At 37.4% G+C, this 15,360-nt stretch overlaps 1 protein-coding gene across 7 annotated transcripts in view, besides 2 other annotated features; it reads right to left on the reverse strand.

Moving 5' to 3' along the window:
• ACBD6 (acyl-CoA binding domain containing 6) overlaps positions 1-15,360 on the reverse strand; it is a 232,925-nt gene that overhangs the window by 31,339 nt on the left and 186,226 nt on the right. For all 7 annotated transcript variants that reach the window (XM_047432083.1, XM_047432080.1, XM_047432082.1 and 4 more), the window contains exon 7: positions 13,701-13,731. In XM_047432083.1, coding sequence (XP_047288039.1) covers positions 13,701-13,731 — 31 coding nt within the window. The remainder of the gene's footprint in view (positions 1-13,700; positions 13,732-15,360) is intronic.
• Positions 10,409-10,609: a silencer, noted in NCBI's record as "peak481 fragment used in MPRA reporter construct". NCBI's record gives its function as "represses an SCP1 promoter by STARR-seq MPRAs in K562 erythroleukemia cells {active_cell/tissue: K562}" and the evidence as "EXISTENCE:reporter gene assay evidence [ECO:0000049][PMID:32103011]".
• Positions 10,949-11,149: a silencer, noted in NCBI's record as "peak482 fragment used in MPRA reporter construct". NCBI's record gives its function as "represses an SCP1 promoter by STARR-seq MPRAs in K562 erythroleukemia cells {active_cell/tissue: K562}" and the evidence as "EXISTENCE:reporter gene assay evidence [ECO:0000049][PMID:32103011]".

The following is a 15,360-nucleotide window of genomic DNA, read 5'->3' on the forward strand; positions in this document are numbered from 1 at the left end:
GACCTATACAAGTGTCTTGGCTCTGCAACCTACAGCTTGGATTACCCTGTCAAGGTAACATCTCTGAACTGTAGTTTTTCAATTAAAAATGGGGGAAGGCAGTACCTAGCTCAAACATTTGTAGAAAAGGCTAAATGAGATTTTACACAGAAACAATAACACCACTACTGTATATCTGCCTAGGTTTAGACTTTTTTGGTGTCTGTATACTTTTTAAAGAGTACAAAATGCACACAGAAGAGTACCAAAATCATATACAGTTGAGTCTTGAACAACATGGGGGTTAGGTGTGCCAACTCCACATGAATTAGAAAAGCCACATATAACTGCTGACTCTCCAAAAACTTAACTACTAATATTCTATGGCTGACTAGTAGCCTTACCAGTAAATAAACTGTCAGTTAACACATATTTTGTATGTTATATGTCTTCTTAACAATAAGCCATAGAAAATGCTATTAAGAAAATCATAAGATAAAATACATGTATAGTACTGTACTGTATTTATTGATGCTGTATGTTTATGTTGCCTGTTTCCAAGATGAATCATCTGTTTGAAATGGTGGCTACTGTGGTGGCAGACCTCAAGTTATGGTACATATCAAGCAACTTAACTTTTTCTTGTAATGTCATACTTTCCTTCTCGGGAACACTTCCAGCATCACTAGTGGCATTTTGTATGGGCCCCCCTTGTGTTATTCAAGGTTTATGGTAGTGTACTAAACACATAAAATACACAAGAACTGCGAGATCACTTTTTAACTGTAATACACAATTTACTGGAGGGACAAACTGCTCATGTAGAGATGACCAGCATCACCTGGCACTTTAAGCACAGACTGGCAACACTTGAGCTCACTGTAATAGCAACAGGAGTTATATACAAAATTACTACAGAACAGTATGTACTACAGTTAATTTTACGCAGTTATGATTTAATATTGCATTTTTACAATCGTTTACACTTTTCTCAGCTTTGGTGCCATGAACGGTCTGTGTTTGAGTGTATAAGTTTTGATAAATTTTAACTTTTTATAATAGATTTATTGGGGGGGGAGGGTGGAGGGATAGCATTAGGAGATAAACCTAATGTAAATGATGAGTTAATGGCTGCAGCACACAAACATGGCACATGTATACATATGTAACAAACCTGCATGTTGTGCACATGTAACCTAGAACTTAGAGTATAATTAAAAAAATAGATTTGTCTGTATTTTATGATGGTAAATGATGAAATAGACTAGTATCTACATATATTTTATGCATTCATGACATGTAACTTTTCCTTAATTTTTTGATATTTCTAGGCTGCAAAACTGAGTTTTTTTCAAGTTGTCAGGAATCTCCAAAATATTTTCCAATATATTCATTTAAAAAAAAACCCTGCATATGAATCTGGGTGCTCCTGTATTGGGTGCATATATATTTAGGATAGTTCGCTCTTCCTGTTGAATTGATCCCTTTACCATTATGTAATGGCCTTCTTTGTCTCTTTTGATCTTTGTTGGTTTAAAGTCTGTTTTATCAGAGACTAGGATTGCAACCCCTGTCTTTTTTTGTTTTCCATTTGCTTGGTAGATCTTCCTTCATCCCTTTATTTTGAGCCTATGCAAATCCTTAGAGACCTAGAAAGAGACTTAGACTCCCACACAATAATAATGGGAGACTTTAACACCCCACTGTCAACATTAGACAGATCAATGAGACAGAAAGTTAACAAGGATATCCAGGAATTGAACTCAGCTCTGCACCAAGAGGACCTAATAGACATCTACAGAACTCTCCACCCCAAATCAACAGAATATACATTCCTCTCAGCATCCCACTGCACTTATTCCAAAACTGATCACATAGTTGGAAGTAAAGCACTCCTCAGCAAATGTAAAAGAACAGAAATTATAACAAACTGTCTCTCAGACCACAGTGCAATCAAACTAGAACTCAGGATTAAGAAACTCACTTAAAACCACTCAACTACATGGAAACTGAACAACCTGCTCCTGAATGACTATTGGGTACAAAACGAAATGAAGGCAGAAATAAAGATGTTCTTTGAAACCAATGAGAACAAAGACACAACATACCAGAATCTCTGGGACACATTCAAAGCAGTGTGTAGAGGGAAATTTATAGCACTAAATGCCCACAAGAGAAAGCAGGAAAGATCTAAAATTGACACCCTAACATCACAATTAAAAGAACTAGAGAAGCAAGAGCAAACACATTCAAAAGCTAGCAGAAGGCAAGAAATAACTAAGATCAGAGCAGAACTGAAGGAGATAGAGACACAAAAAACCCTTCAAAAACTCAATGAATCCAGGAGCTGGTTTTTTGAAAAGATCAACAAAATTGATAGACTGCTAGCAAGACTAATAAAGAAGAAAAGAGAGAAGAATCAAATAGATGCAATAAAAAATGATAAAGGGGACATCACCACCAATCCCGCAGAAATACAAACTACCATCAGAGAATATTATAAACACCTCTACGCAAATAAACTAGAAAATCTAGAAGAAATGGATAAATTCCTCGACACATACACCCTCCCAAGACTAAACCAGGAAGAAGTTGAATCTCTGAAGAGATCAATAATAGGATCTGAAATTGAGGCAAAAATTAATAGCTCACCAACCAAAAAAAGTCCAGGACCAGATGGATTCACAGCCGAATTCCACCAGAGGTACAAGGAGGAGCTGGTACCATTCCTTCTGAAACTATTCCAATCAATAGAAAAAGATGGAATCCTCCCTAACTCATTTTATGAGGCCAGCATCATCCTGTTACCAAAGCCTGGCAGAGACACAACAAAAAAAGAGAATTTTAGACCAATATCCCTGATGAATACTGATGCAAAAATCATCAATAAAATACTGGCAAACCGAATCCAGCAGCACATCAAGAAGCTTATCCACCATGATTAAGTGGGCTTCATCCCTGGGATGCAAGGCTGGTTCAACATACGCAAATCAATAAACGTAATCCAGCATATAAACAGAACCAATGACAAAAATCATATGATTATCTCAGTAGATGCAGAAAAGGCCTTTGACAAAATTCAACAACGCTTCATGCTAAAAACTCTCAATAAATTAGGTATTGATGGGACGTATCTCATAATAATAAGAGCTATCTATGACAAACTCACAGCCAATATCATACTGAATGGGCAAAACCTGGAACCATTCCCTTTGAAAATGGGCACAAGACAGGGATGCCCTCTCTCACCACTCCTATTCAACATAGTGTTGGAAGTTCTGGCCAGGGTAATCAGGCAGGAGAAGGAAATAAAGGGTATTCAATTAGGAAAAGAGGAAGTCAAATTGTCCCTGTTTGCAGATGACATGACTGTGTATCTAGAAAACCCCATTGTCTCAGCCCAAAATCTCCTTAAGCTGATAGGCAACTTGAGCAAAGTCTCAGGATACAAAATCAATGTGCAAAAATCACAAGCATTCTTATACAACAATAACAGACAGAGAGCCAAATCATGAGTGAACTCCCATTCACAACTGCTTCAAAGAGAATAAAATACCTAGGAATCCAACTTACAAGGGATGTGAAGGACCTCTTCAAGGAGAACTACAAACCACTGCTCAAGGAAATAAAAGAGGATACAAACAAATGGAAGAACATTCCATGCTCATGGTAGGAAGAATCAATATCATGAAAATGGCCATACTGCCCAAGGTAATTTATAGATTCAATGCCATCCCCATCAAGCTACAAATGACTTTCCTCACAGAATTGGAAAAAACTACTTTAAAGTTCACATGGAACCAAAAAAGAGCCCACATTGCCAAGTCAATCCTAAGCCAAAAGAACAAAGCTGGAGGCATCACACTACCTGACTTCAAACTATACTACAAGGCTACAGTAACCAAAACAGCATGGTACTGGTACCAAAACAGAGATATAGACCAATGGTACAGAACAGAGCCCTCGGAAATAATGCCACATATCTATAACCATCTGATCTTTGACAAACCTGACAAAAACAAGAAATGGGGAAAGGATTCCCTATTTAATAAATGGTGCTGGGAAAACTGGCTAGTCATAGAAAGCTGAAACTGGATCCCTTCCTTACACTTTATACAAAAATTAATTCAAGATGGATTAAAGACTTAAATGATAGACCTAAAACCATAAAAACCCTAGATTAAAACCTAGGCAATACCATTCAGGACATAGGCATGGGCAAGGACTTCATGTCTACAACACCCAAAAGCAATGGCAACAAAAGCCAAAATTGACAAATGGGATCTAATTAAACTAAAGAGCTTCTGCACAGCAAAAGAAACTACCATCAGAGTGAACAGGTAACCTACGGAATGGGAGAAAATTTTTGCAATCTACTCATCTGACAAAGGGCTAATATCCAGAATCTATAATGAACTCAAACAAATCTACAAGAAAAAAAACAAACAACCCCATCAAAAAGTGGGCAAAGGATATCAATAGACACTTCTCAAAAGAAGACATTTATGCAGCCAAAAGACACATGAAAAAATGCTCATCATCACTGGCCATCAGAGAAATGCAAATCAAAACCACAATGAGATACCATCTCACACCAGTTAGAATGGCAATCATTAAAAAGTCAGGAAACAACAGGTGCTGGAGAGGATGTGGAGAAATAGAAACACTTTTACACTGTTGGTGGGACTGTAAACTGGTTCAACCATTGTGGAAGTCAGTGTGGCAATTCCTCAGGGATCTAGAACTAGAAATACCATTTGACCCAGCCATTCCATTACTGGGTGTATACCCAAAAAAGTATAAATCATGCTGCTATAAAGACACATGCACATGTATGTTTATTGCAGCACTATTCACAATAGCAAAGACTTGGAACCAACCCAAATGTGCAACGATAGACAGGATTAAGAAAATGTGGCACATATACACCATGGAATACTATGCAGCCATAAAAATGATGAGTTCATGTCCTTTGTAGTGACATGGATGAAGCTGGAAACCACCATTCGCAGCAAACTATCGCAAGGACAAAAAACCAAACACCGCATATTCTCACTCATAGGTGGGAATTGAACAATGAGAACACGTGGACACAGGAAGGGGAACATCACACCCCGGGGACTGTTGTGGGGTGGGGGGAGGGGGGAGGGATAGCATTAGGAGATATACCTAATGTTAAATGATGAGTTGATGGGTGCAGCACACCAACATGGCACATGTATACATATGTAACTAAACTGCACGTTGTGCACATGTACCCTAAAACTTAAAGTATAATAATAAAAAAAAAACAAACAAAACCAACCAAACCAAACAAAACAAAAAAACCCTGCATATAAGTGGACACACACAGTTCACACCTATGTTGTTCAAGGGTCAACTGTATATAAATTTTCTTAAGGAAATTTATCCATGTAACTAGCACATATCAACAATCAGGTCATTATTAGACTCTCAGAAGCACGCGTGCCCTGTTAACCCCTTCTAGTTGCCTGCTACCTCCTTACTTCACCCAAGGTAATCATTATCCCCTTTACTAATGCTAGAGAGAAGTTTTTCCCATTTTTGGCCTTTATATAAATGGAAACCATACTGTATGTACTCTTTTGTGTCTGGCATCTCAGCTCAGTAGCATGTGTAAGATTCATTTACATTATTGCATGTAGATGTAGCTCATTCTCACTGCTGTATAGTATTCTAGCAGATGAACATCACAGATTATTACTAACCAGAGCTCATAATTTCTGAATCTGAAGGTCCCAATGTTTAAATCAATTCTAGGAATTATTAGTAAGTATATCTTCAAATATTAATTTTTTGCAATCTCTCCTTCTGGAACTATTAAAAATACTGAACTTGGCTTTTATCCAAAAGACAACCAATAACAAATGCTGGCGAGGATGTGGAGAAAAGGGAGCCCTTGTACACCATTGGTGGGAATGTAAATTAGTACAATCACTATGGAGAACAGTTTGGAGGTTCCTCAAAGAACTGAAAATAGGCTACTATACGATCCAGCAGTCCCAATCATGGGTATATACCCAAAAGAAAGGAAATCAGCATATCAAAGAGATATCTGCACTGCCATGTTTGTTGCAGCACTGTTCACAATAGCCAAGATTTGGAAGCAACCTAAGTGTCCATCAACAGATGAATGGATAAAGAAAATGTGGTATATATGCACAATGGAACACTATTCAGCCATAAAAAAGAGTGAGATTCTGTCATCTGCAACAACATAGATGGACTGGAGGTCATTATGTTAAGTGAAATATGCCAGGCACAGAAAGGCAAACTTCACATATTCTCACTTATTTGTGGGGGCTAAAAATAAAAACAATGGAAGCTACATAGATAGAGAGTAGAGGGATGGTTACAAGAGGCTGGGAAGGGTTGTAGGGACATGAGGGCGGAAATGGGGATGGTTAATGGGTACAAAAAAATTGTTACAAAGAATAAGACCCAGTATTTGACAGCACAACAGGATGATTATAGTCAATAATAATTTAATTGTATACTTCAAAATAGGTAAAAGAGTTTAATTAGATTGTTTGTAACACAAAGGATAAATGCTTGAGGGAATGGACACCCCATTTATCATGATGTGATTATTACACATTGGATCCCTGTATCAAAGTATCTCATGTACCCCATAAATATGCATCTACTATGCACCCACAAAAATTAAAAATAAAAAAATTAGGCTGGGTACAGTGGCTCATGCCTGTAATCCCAGCACTTTGGGAGGCCAAGGCAAGCGGATCATTTGAGGCCAGGAGTTTGAGACCAGCCTGGTCAACACGGTAAAATCCCGTCTCTACTAAAAATACAAAAACTAGCTGGGTATGGTGGCGCATGCCTGTAGTCCCAGCTATTCTGGAGGGTGAGGCAGGAGACTCGCTTGAACCTGGGAGGCGGAGGGTGCAGTGAGTTGAGATCACACCACTGCACTCCAGCCTGGGTGACAGAGCGAGACTCTGTCTCAAAAAACAAATTAAGATAAATAAATGCTGAACTCTCTTGTTCCACTCTTAATGTCTCTTTACATTTATCATTTCTTTACCTTTCTGTGCTGCCTTTTTGGCAATTTCTTTAGACAAATATTTTCACCAAATTTTTTTTAACTTGTGTCAATTCTTCACTTTAACTTATCCGCTGTAAAATTTCTGTATTTTTTTAATTTACATAAGTTCTATTTGGTTCTCTTCCAAATCTGCCTGTTCTTTTTTGGAATGTCTTTTCTTGTGTTTTTGATTCTTTGATTTTATACAGACTTATTCTGATAATTTTTATCCAAGTTTTACTGAAGTTCCTCAAAGTCTAATACTGTAGTTTACTATGTCTGCTGTCATTCACTCAAGTGTATTTTGTAATTTTGGATTGTGAACAATATTATTCTCAGTGGGGCTTCATTCTGGACGAACTTTGTACTGTATAGGTTGAGGATGTGTTTCTCAAGGGAAGTTTAGCATTCATCAGCCCAGTACACTTATGTTAATTTCTTGACTTGAGGATTCCTGAAATAATCAGAATATAAATGTGAACCCGAAACTTATAGGGCTTTTGTTTCCACTCAAATGCTAGTCTGAAGCAGAGAAGCTTCTTTGTCTTCTTTTTACCAATAGGCCAACTTGTTCTAATCTCTACCCCTTTGCCTCCTCTTTTAAACGAAGGATATAGCCTTTTGAAGGTCCTGGCTCATGTGCAGGATCTCAGTTTTGAGTCCTGATTACTTCTAGTTCAAGAGGTCTTATTTCCAGGTTGCGTTGGCATTGAAATCCAAGCTCAGAGTTCTCCCAGTTAGAGTGTTTGCTCACCCATTTACCGCTATAGATACTGGGTTCTTTATTGGGTGGGAAGTAAATGAATCTGGGGACATCTCTTATCTTAAAAAGAATGTTTGATGTATTTTATCCAGCAAATAGTAGGCATTCAAATATTTGTTGAATGAATGAAATATAATTAAGGTGTATCATATTCATAGTACTAATAGAACCTTTAAAATAATTTAACTTTTGAACAGATAATATATGCATATAGGTCCAATACAGAAGTTATAAAAGGGTTTACAGAAAAAGGTTTTCATCTTATTCGTGTATTTCTAGCCCCACAGCTCCTCTTCCCTAAGGCAATTAACATTATTAGCTTTTTATGTATCCTCCCAGAGATATATATTTACTAGCAAGTATGTATAGATATATTCATGGCAGCACACTATATACACCGTGCTACACCTTAACCTTTTTGTTCAACAATATATGTTAAGAGATTTTTCTGTACCAGTACATAAAGAAAACAGAGCTTATTTGAATCCAGTCAGAAATGCTTTTTGAAAAATCCCTACCCTGTTGCTATCTATAAATGCATTTTAAATATATCAAACTTAAATGGACACATTCCTACATCCATAAAGGCATTCACTCCTAATGGTTAACTAGGGATGACAGAGTGACTCATCTAAATTCTCAAGAGCACATTCAATCTGGTTTAGCTGTTGCTACAGTTTCTGGAAGGGAGAAATAAAAGGAAAACACAGCACATGCCACAGAGAAGGCACTGAAAAACACCTGAATGAGGGAATGAAAGAAGGAATAAGGGGATGGAAATAAGAGCTGATTCAGCAGGGCATGTGGGTGCACTGGCAGTGGTTGTCTTTATAAGCAGAGCAGTGAACTCTAGACCGTAGGGCAAATATTGTGGAGTAAAAGAAGGCTGGCATCTTGAAGCAAGGCATCAGGAAAAATGAGTAGCCTTGAATTTTGTGCTGAAGGCCTCACAACCACTGTGAAGAGTTTATTTTTCCTCTTTTTTGACTCTCCGGTTATTTGACTTAAGCCTGGTTATCCCAGATTGCCATCATAGCTGTGGGGGTGGCTGAGACAAATTTTTTTCTGGGTGGAAAATTAGGGTTTAGAACAGCCAGCTCTTGATAATACAAGAGGAATCATATGACAGAAATACTATATAAACATGTTTGAGGAGTAAGTGATGTGAATGCTGTGGAAGGAGGTATGGGAAAGCATTAATTTTTCTGTCTTTTCCTAGTAAATATAGACACATGGGTTTGAATTTCCAATTCCCTTAGGCAAGCTTGTTAATCTCTTTGAGTTTTGGTTTCCTCATTTATAAAAAAAAATAACTACTACATATGCTTTGGGAGACTGATGTGGGAAAATTGCTGGAGGCCAAGAATTTGAGACCAGCCTGGGCTAGATCCTGTCTCAACAAAAACAAAATAACTTAGCCAGGTGTAGTGGTGCGTGCCTGTAGTCCCAGCTGCTTGGGAGGCTGAGGCAGAAGGATTGCTCAAGCACAGGAGTTCAAGGCTGCAGTGAGCCATGATTGCGCCACTACACTCTAGCCTGGGCGACAAGAGTGAAACACTGACTCACAAACAAACAAACAAAAAAACCCTACTAGAGGCCTATTTATAGACAGGGGCTTACAGATTAAATAGTTTATTATTTTACTATTTTATATGCTCATTTTAATGGTTCTTTCAAAGGCATTTGATACCATAAAATATGTATTTGTATGTGCATATATGTATATATGTGCAATTTTAATTAACAAATATTACAAGCATGGCATGCAGAGGAATAGAGAGGCTAATAAAACAAGTTGTTGACTACTACAAATATGCTTCAATAAATGTTCTAAATCATGTTTCATTATACAGATGTTCAGGAGTTTTTCTCTGGTATGTACCTAGAACCAGAATTACTGGGTTGTAGAGTATGTGTACCTTGAACTTTACTAAATCTTACTAAACTGATCTCAAAATGGCTGTAACAGTTGACACTCTCATCAGCAATGTATGAGAATTCTTGTTGTTCTACAGCCTAATATTAATATTTGTAGACATTTACATGTTGCCAATCTGATCGGTATGAAGTTGTATCTAAATGTTTTAATCTGCATTCCCCAATTAATTATTGTTGGGAGACAATTCTTGAAGGGTCTCTCGTGTTTCTGCACGTCTTATGTACAAAGGTACATAAGATGTGCAGAAGACATAAGACAGCTTTTGTTCTAGACTAACTTTCAAGGATGTTTGTGTAATGAACAGATTTGACAACAGAGATAGTGTTTCTTTCCAGAACAGAGGGCAGGTTTGTTTACCATCCAGAATAATAAACATAATACCTCCTCCTGAGCAAAGGTTTGCTTGCAACCCATTATAAAAGATGAGAGTTCCCTAAGATTAGGATTCCTAAGCCATGACACACGGTGTGTGTAGTATCTACGTGGGCCTCTCTGCATCGCTCTGATGGGACTTTGGAGGCAAGAGGAAATGACAAAAACATGAAGCTCATGCTGCTAGCTGTGCCATGGATAAGAAAGTCTTTCGTCTCTGATCCAAAAGTTTTGTGTCTTTTGCCAGCAACCATCAAACTGTCAGGCTAACTTGCTAGCTTGTAAGCAAAATACAATCTCAGACTATTCATAGTTCTTTCTTTTTTGCTTTTACTTTTTAATTTTTTTGAGACAGGGTCTTACTCTGTCAACCAAGCTGGAGTGCAGTGGCATAATCATGACTCACTGCAGCCTCCAACTCCTGGACTCAAGTGATTTTCCCACCTCAGCCTCTCAAGTAGTTGGGACCATATTTGCCCAGGACAGCCTTAGCAAAAGGTAGCTGGAGGCAAGGCAGAAAATGTTTGTCCTGCTTCTCCCAGGAAGAAAGCCCTCTGACTAGCAGCTGGGAGGAGAGGGAGCTCTGTGTTCTTGGCTACAGCATTGTGGAGTGGAGTCTCCACATCACTGACCTGGGAAGACAGAAAGGAGGGAGTAATCTTGGTTCAAATATCACAAAGTTTTCCTTCTTACCAAATTTTTGTAGATTTTCTTGAATAGATGTCTCTTCATTTGCTTTTTGTCCTTAGTACCATTTCTAGAAGCTATTAAATGTCTGTAGTTCCAAAAATAATTTTCACCAGTTTGACAAGGGAGCATATCAGTGGAGCTTCTCACATTGTCATGTTGGAAGTCAGTCTCTGCCTTCATTATTATAGCTGTAAGATAACATCTTGATATTTGGAAGAACAAGTCCTTCTTTCTTGTTTTTCTTCAAATTGCCTTAGATATTCCTGGCTCCTTTATCTTCCATATGAATTTTAGGGCAAAGCTTGTTAAATTCCACAAAGTATCTGCTGGAATTCTTATGAAAATTCTCTGAATTTGTAGTTTGACTTGGCAGAAATGATCTTTATGAAATCGAGTCTTCCTATTCATTAACGTAGATTATTTCTCCTTCTACTTAGGTCCTTTAAAAATGTCTTTTAAAAATTCTATTTTTTTCTATGAAGGTTTTACGTGCCTTTTGTTAGGTTGAGTCCTAGGATTTTGTTGCTATTGTAAATAATATTGGAAAAATGTTTTAAATTTTTTTTAGCTTTTTACAATAATGCTTAAGAATAAACTTAAAAAAACTAATGCATTCAGCATCCCTGCTAAATTGTATAGTTTTTATAATTTGTAGAGTTTCTTGGATTTCTGTGTAGCTAACTGTATTGTTTGAGAATGATGATGATTTTGTTTCATCCATCTCATGTACCTTTTATTTATTTTGTTTTTCATTTTGTGTTATCTACAATTCTAATACAGTATTGAAGAGACACAGTTATGGTATGCATGTTTTTCTTGTTTCGGATTTTAAAGAAAATGCTTCACACATTCCATCTTTAATAATAATGTTTGCTCTGGGTTTTTGATGAGTAAATCAGGCCATGGAAGTCTCCTTCTATTCCTAGTTTAAGAGCTTTTATCATAAAAATAATTAACTAACATTTATTGAGTATATGCCAGGTGTCAGACATTGTTCCAAGCACTTTACACAGATTAACTCATTATAACAAATCTCTGAAGTTACTATCCCTATTTCATCATGAGTAAACTGAGGTACAGTGTAAGTTAAGTATTTTATCCCAGGTCAGGGGTAGAACTAGAATTTGAACGCAGAAGTCTGGCTTACGAGCAGGCTTAATTAACTACTTTACCACTCTTAAAATGAGTGTTGAACATCCTCAAATGCTTTTTTCTGCATTTGATTTGATCATACAGTTTTTTTACCTAATTTGCTGATGTGGAAGGTTACATTAATAGATTTTTTAAATGTTAAGTCATCCTTGAATTCCTGGGATGAACCCAACTTGGTCAGCACATATCTTTCTTTCTTTTAAAAATATGTTGATGGATTTCATTTGCTAATATTTTATTTCAGATTTTTGCATCTATGCTCATAAGTAAGACTGACTCACAATTTTCCTTTCTCCTGCTGGTTTTGGTAAACAGGTTATGCTAGACAAATTCATAAGTGAGTTGAGGCTGGCAGTTGGTGACAGACATTTCAACCTCAATTATTAGGCTGACATATGTAGGTAGTATAATAGCTAGTCCAATAGGTTAAGACTCCTAGATAGCACAGCGAGGTTTCTCCAGCATTATCCCTCCAGAATGATTTGGCTTTTGTTTCCGCCAAGCATCCCAGAAACACTATCAGCTTGAAATACCTTAGTTGATTTTTTAGCTTGGGATTTTTGAACACTTGAGTGCAAATTTAAAGTCCAAAGCAGTAGACAAAAGTGTCCAGGGTCATTTGAGCCACTTGTTACTGAATCGCAGTCTAAGGTTGCCAAGACTGGCAAGTGTATTCCTTCCCAAAAGGTTGATCCATAATGTGGTGTAAATACCGATGGCTGTCTTTCATTCAGCCATATTCACACCCAAATAGAATCTTTTTTCTTTGGAGACAGGGTCTGTGTTGCTCAGGCTGGCCTCAAACTCCTGGATTTGAGTGATCCTCCTGCCTCAGCCTCCTGGTAGCTGGGACTACAGACGTGCACCACTGCGCCCAACTCTACACAGACTCTTTAAATCATATTTACTAGGACTTTACATTTTACAAAATACTGTAATATCTTTTATCTCACTGAATTTACCAAGCAGCTCTCTAAGAGCCATATTATTTCCATCTTACAGATTTTTTTCTATTTTACAGATTACTTAAGCTAATCAGTTAGTAGGAGAAATTAGTTAAAAAATCAAATTTCTTTTTCTTCAATTAGATCAAGAAAATATTTCTTGTAGGAGAGATGCTAGATTTTACAGTGACCATGATTTTAACATCTTTCTTGTCACTCATTAATAGAACTAAGAATGAAATAATGAATTTTCAAAGGGGGCTAGCACGGTCTCTATTTCTGTTGCTAGTATAGAAACAATTTATTATAAATGTGACCATAAGAATTTTAATACATCTTCAACTTACTAAGTTATTAATATTTTTTTTTGAGATGGAGTCTCACTATGTCACCCAGGCTGGAGTGCAGTGGTGCAATCTCGGTTCACTGCAACCTCCACCTCCCAGATTCAAGCGATTCTCCTGTCTCAGCCTCCTGAGTAGCTGGGATTACAGGTGCCCGCCATCAGCCCTGGCTAATTTTTGTATTTTTAGTAGAGACAGGGTTTCAGCATGTTGGCCAGGCTGGTCTTGAACTCCTGACCTCAAGTGATCTGCCCGCCTCAGCCTCCCATAGTGCTGGGATTACAGGTGTGAGCCCTCACGCCCGGCCTAATACATTTTTTTGAACAAAAAGTTATTGTATCTCTGCTAGCTGCCAGGTACCTATCTAAGCACTATATAGGAATGGACAAAGTTGAAATAAACAAATAGAGAATATGTTCAAATATGATTACTTAATAATTTAGAAACTTCTTACCATAATGTAGAGCTGTTTGGCCTTCATTGTCCTATAAAAGAAACAAATAATACATTTTAGAAGTCTAAGTAATTGCAAAAGTATGAAAGTACATAAACTGTAGCAAATTTATCTGATATACCAAAGTTCCATAGGTTTATCAGACTTAGGAAAAGAAGTCAGTTAACTGAGCTTCACCGTAACTTTTGACCAAGCTCACCATCCTGAAGAATAAAGAATGATAACTTGTGCACTGTAGCAGCTACAATGGAGTAACAGGATGACCAGTTACTCCAGATATCTGCAGGTAATAATCCAAAGAGAAATTCTTAAAGTGAGGCAGTTTGGTTACCTAGTTCATGGCAGAAAAATTGACACTATGTCTCATTTATCTTGGCCAGTATTAGGATTTTTTTTTTCCTAAGCTTGTCCCCAAATCTATCTAGCGATTCTGTGATTTATAGTGGATAGCTTTTTATCCCTTTTCAAAGACTCACAAATTCCAGGCTAATAACACCGGGTTTCATAACCAGATCAAATATCATAAAGTAATGTGATTTCAAAGCATACAAAGTCCCAGAAGTTGTTAAGAAAGCCAAAAGTTGCCATAGAATACTTAGGAAATTCCAACATTTCAGTTATTTTCCTTTAAAACCAAGAAAACTATATATACTATTAATTGTAGTGCAGTTGAGTACTTTTTAGCAATGCCACCTCTTAAAACTGAGAGCAGCTAATCACATTACATGAGCAACAAATAATCAAAGTACACAAGTGAAAAGCACAATTTAGTAATTAACTTCATAAGCACTTTGTAATATGCATGGCCGTCATGCCCCTGGTAATTGAGAATAAATGTGAAACTGTTAATCTGAATAACTTGGAAGGGTGATGTTATGCCAGCCAAACTATTCTTGGGTACCCATATCTGCTTTTCCCACTTCCTAACAGCTGAATGTAGGGGTGGAGGTTGGCTCTGGAACTTTTTGGCAATGGGTCTCCCTATTTATCTCCTAGAAAGAAAAGCAAGAAGCTGCCACAGAGAACTTATTTTATGGTTCAGATAGGTAGTAAGAAAAAAGTCATGGCAGGGGGACAACCTTGAGGCAATGTAGTTTGTTTTCCTACTGTGGAATGAAGGTCTGATTGGATTTGGAGGTAAGGTGCTTATTACATGGGAGAGAGGAGATATGAAAGAAGTAATTTTAGCAGGGAGTCAGGGTAGGGTACACTTGGCTAAGATGCAACTATGCTAAGTTTGGGATGTCCAGGAAGCATCATAAAGATAATAAACTCTAAGAAAAGTAAAAGATGGAAAGCAGCATGAAAAAGTCAGGAAACACAAGAGATCATTTTTGCCTACTTTTTTTTCTTGTCTTTTTAGATACAACCTTTATCTTGCTCCCCTTTGACCTGCCCTGCCCTTGAGATTAAGGACAGGTAGGGGAAGAGAGCTAAGGCAGCTATAGTGAATAGTATCTGAGTGATTCTTATGCAGGGCAGCCTGACAATGTGAAGTTCTGCTCAAGAGAATGTTGTCTTGATTGGGAAAGCTAAGGGCAATTTCAAAAGAACAGTACTGACCATTATGGCTTAAGACTCATATCTATATTTGTCAGCTTCCAATGTTAATCAATGAAAGTGTGTGTGTGTGTGCGTGAGTGCGCACACACACACACAC

The sequence above is a fragment of the Homo sapiens genome, chromosome 1, assembly GCF_000001405.40.
Source record: "Homo sapiens chromosome 1, GRCh38.p14 Primary Assembly".
Lineage (NCBI taxonomy): Eukaryota > Metazoa > Chordata > Mammalia > Primates > Hominidae > Homo > Homo sapiens.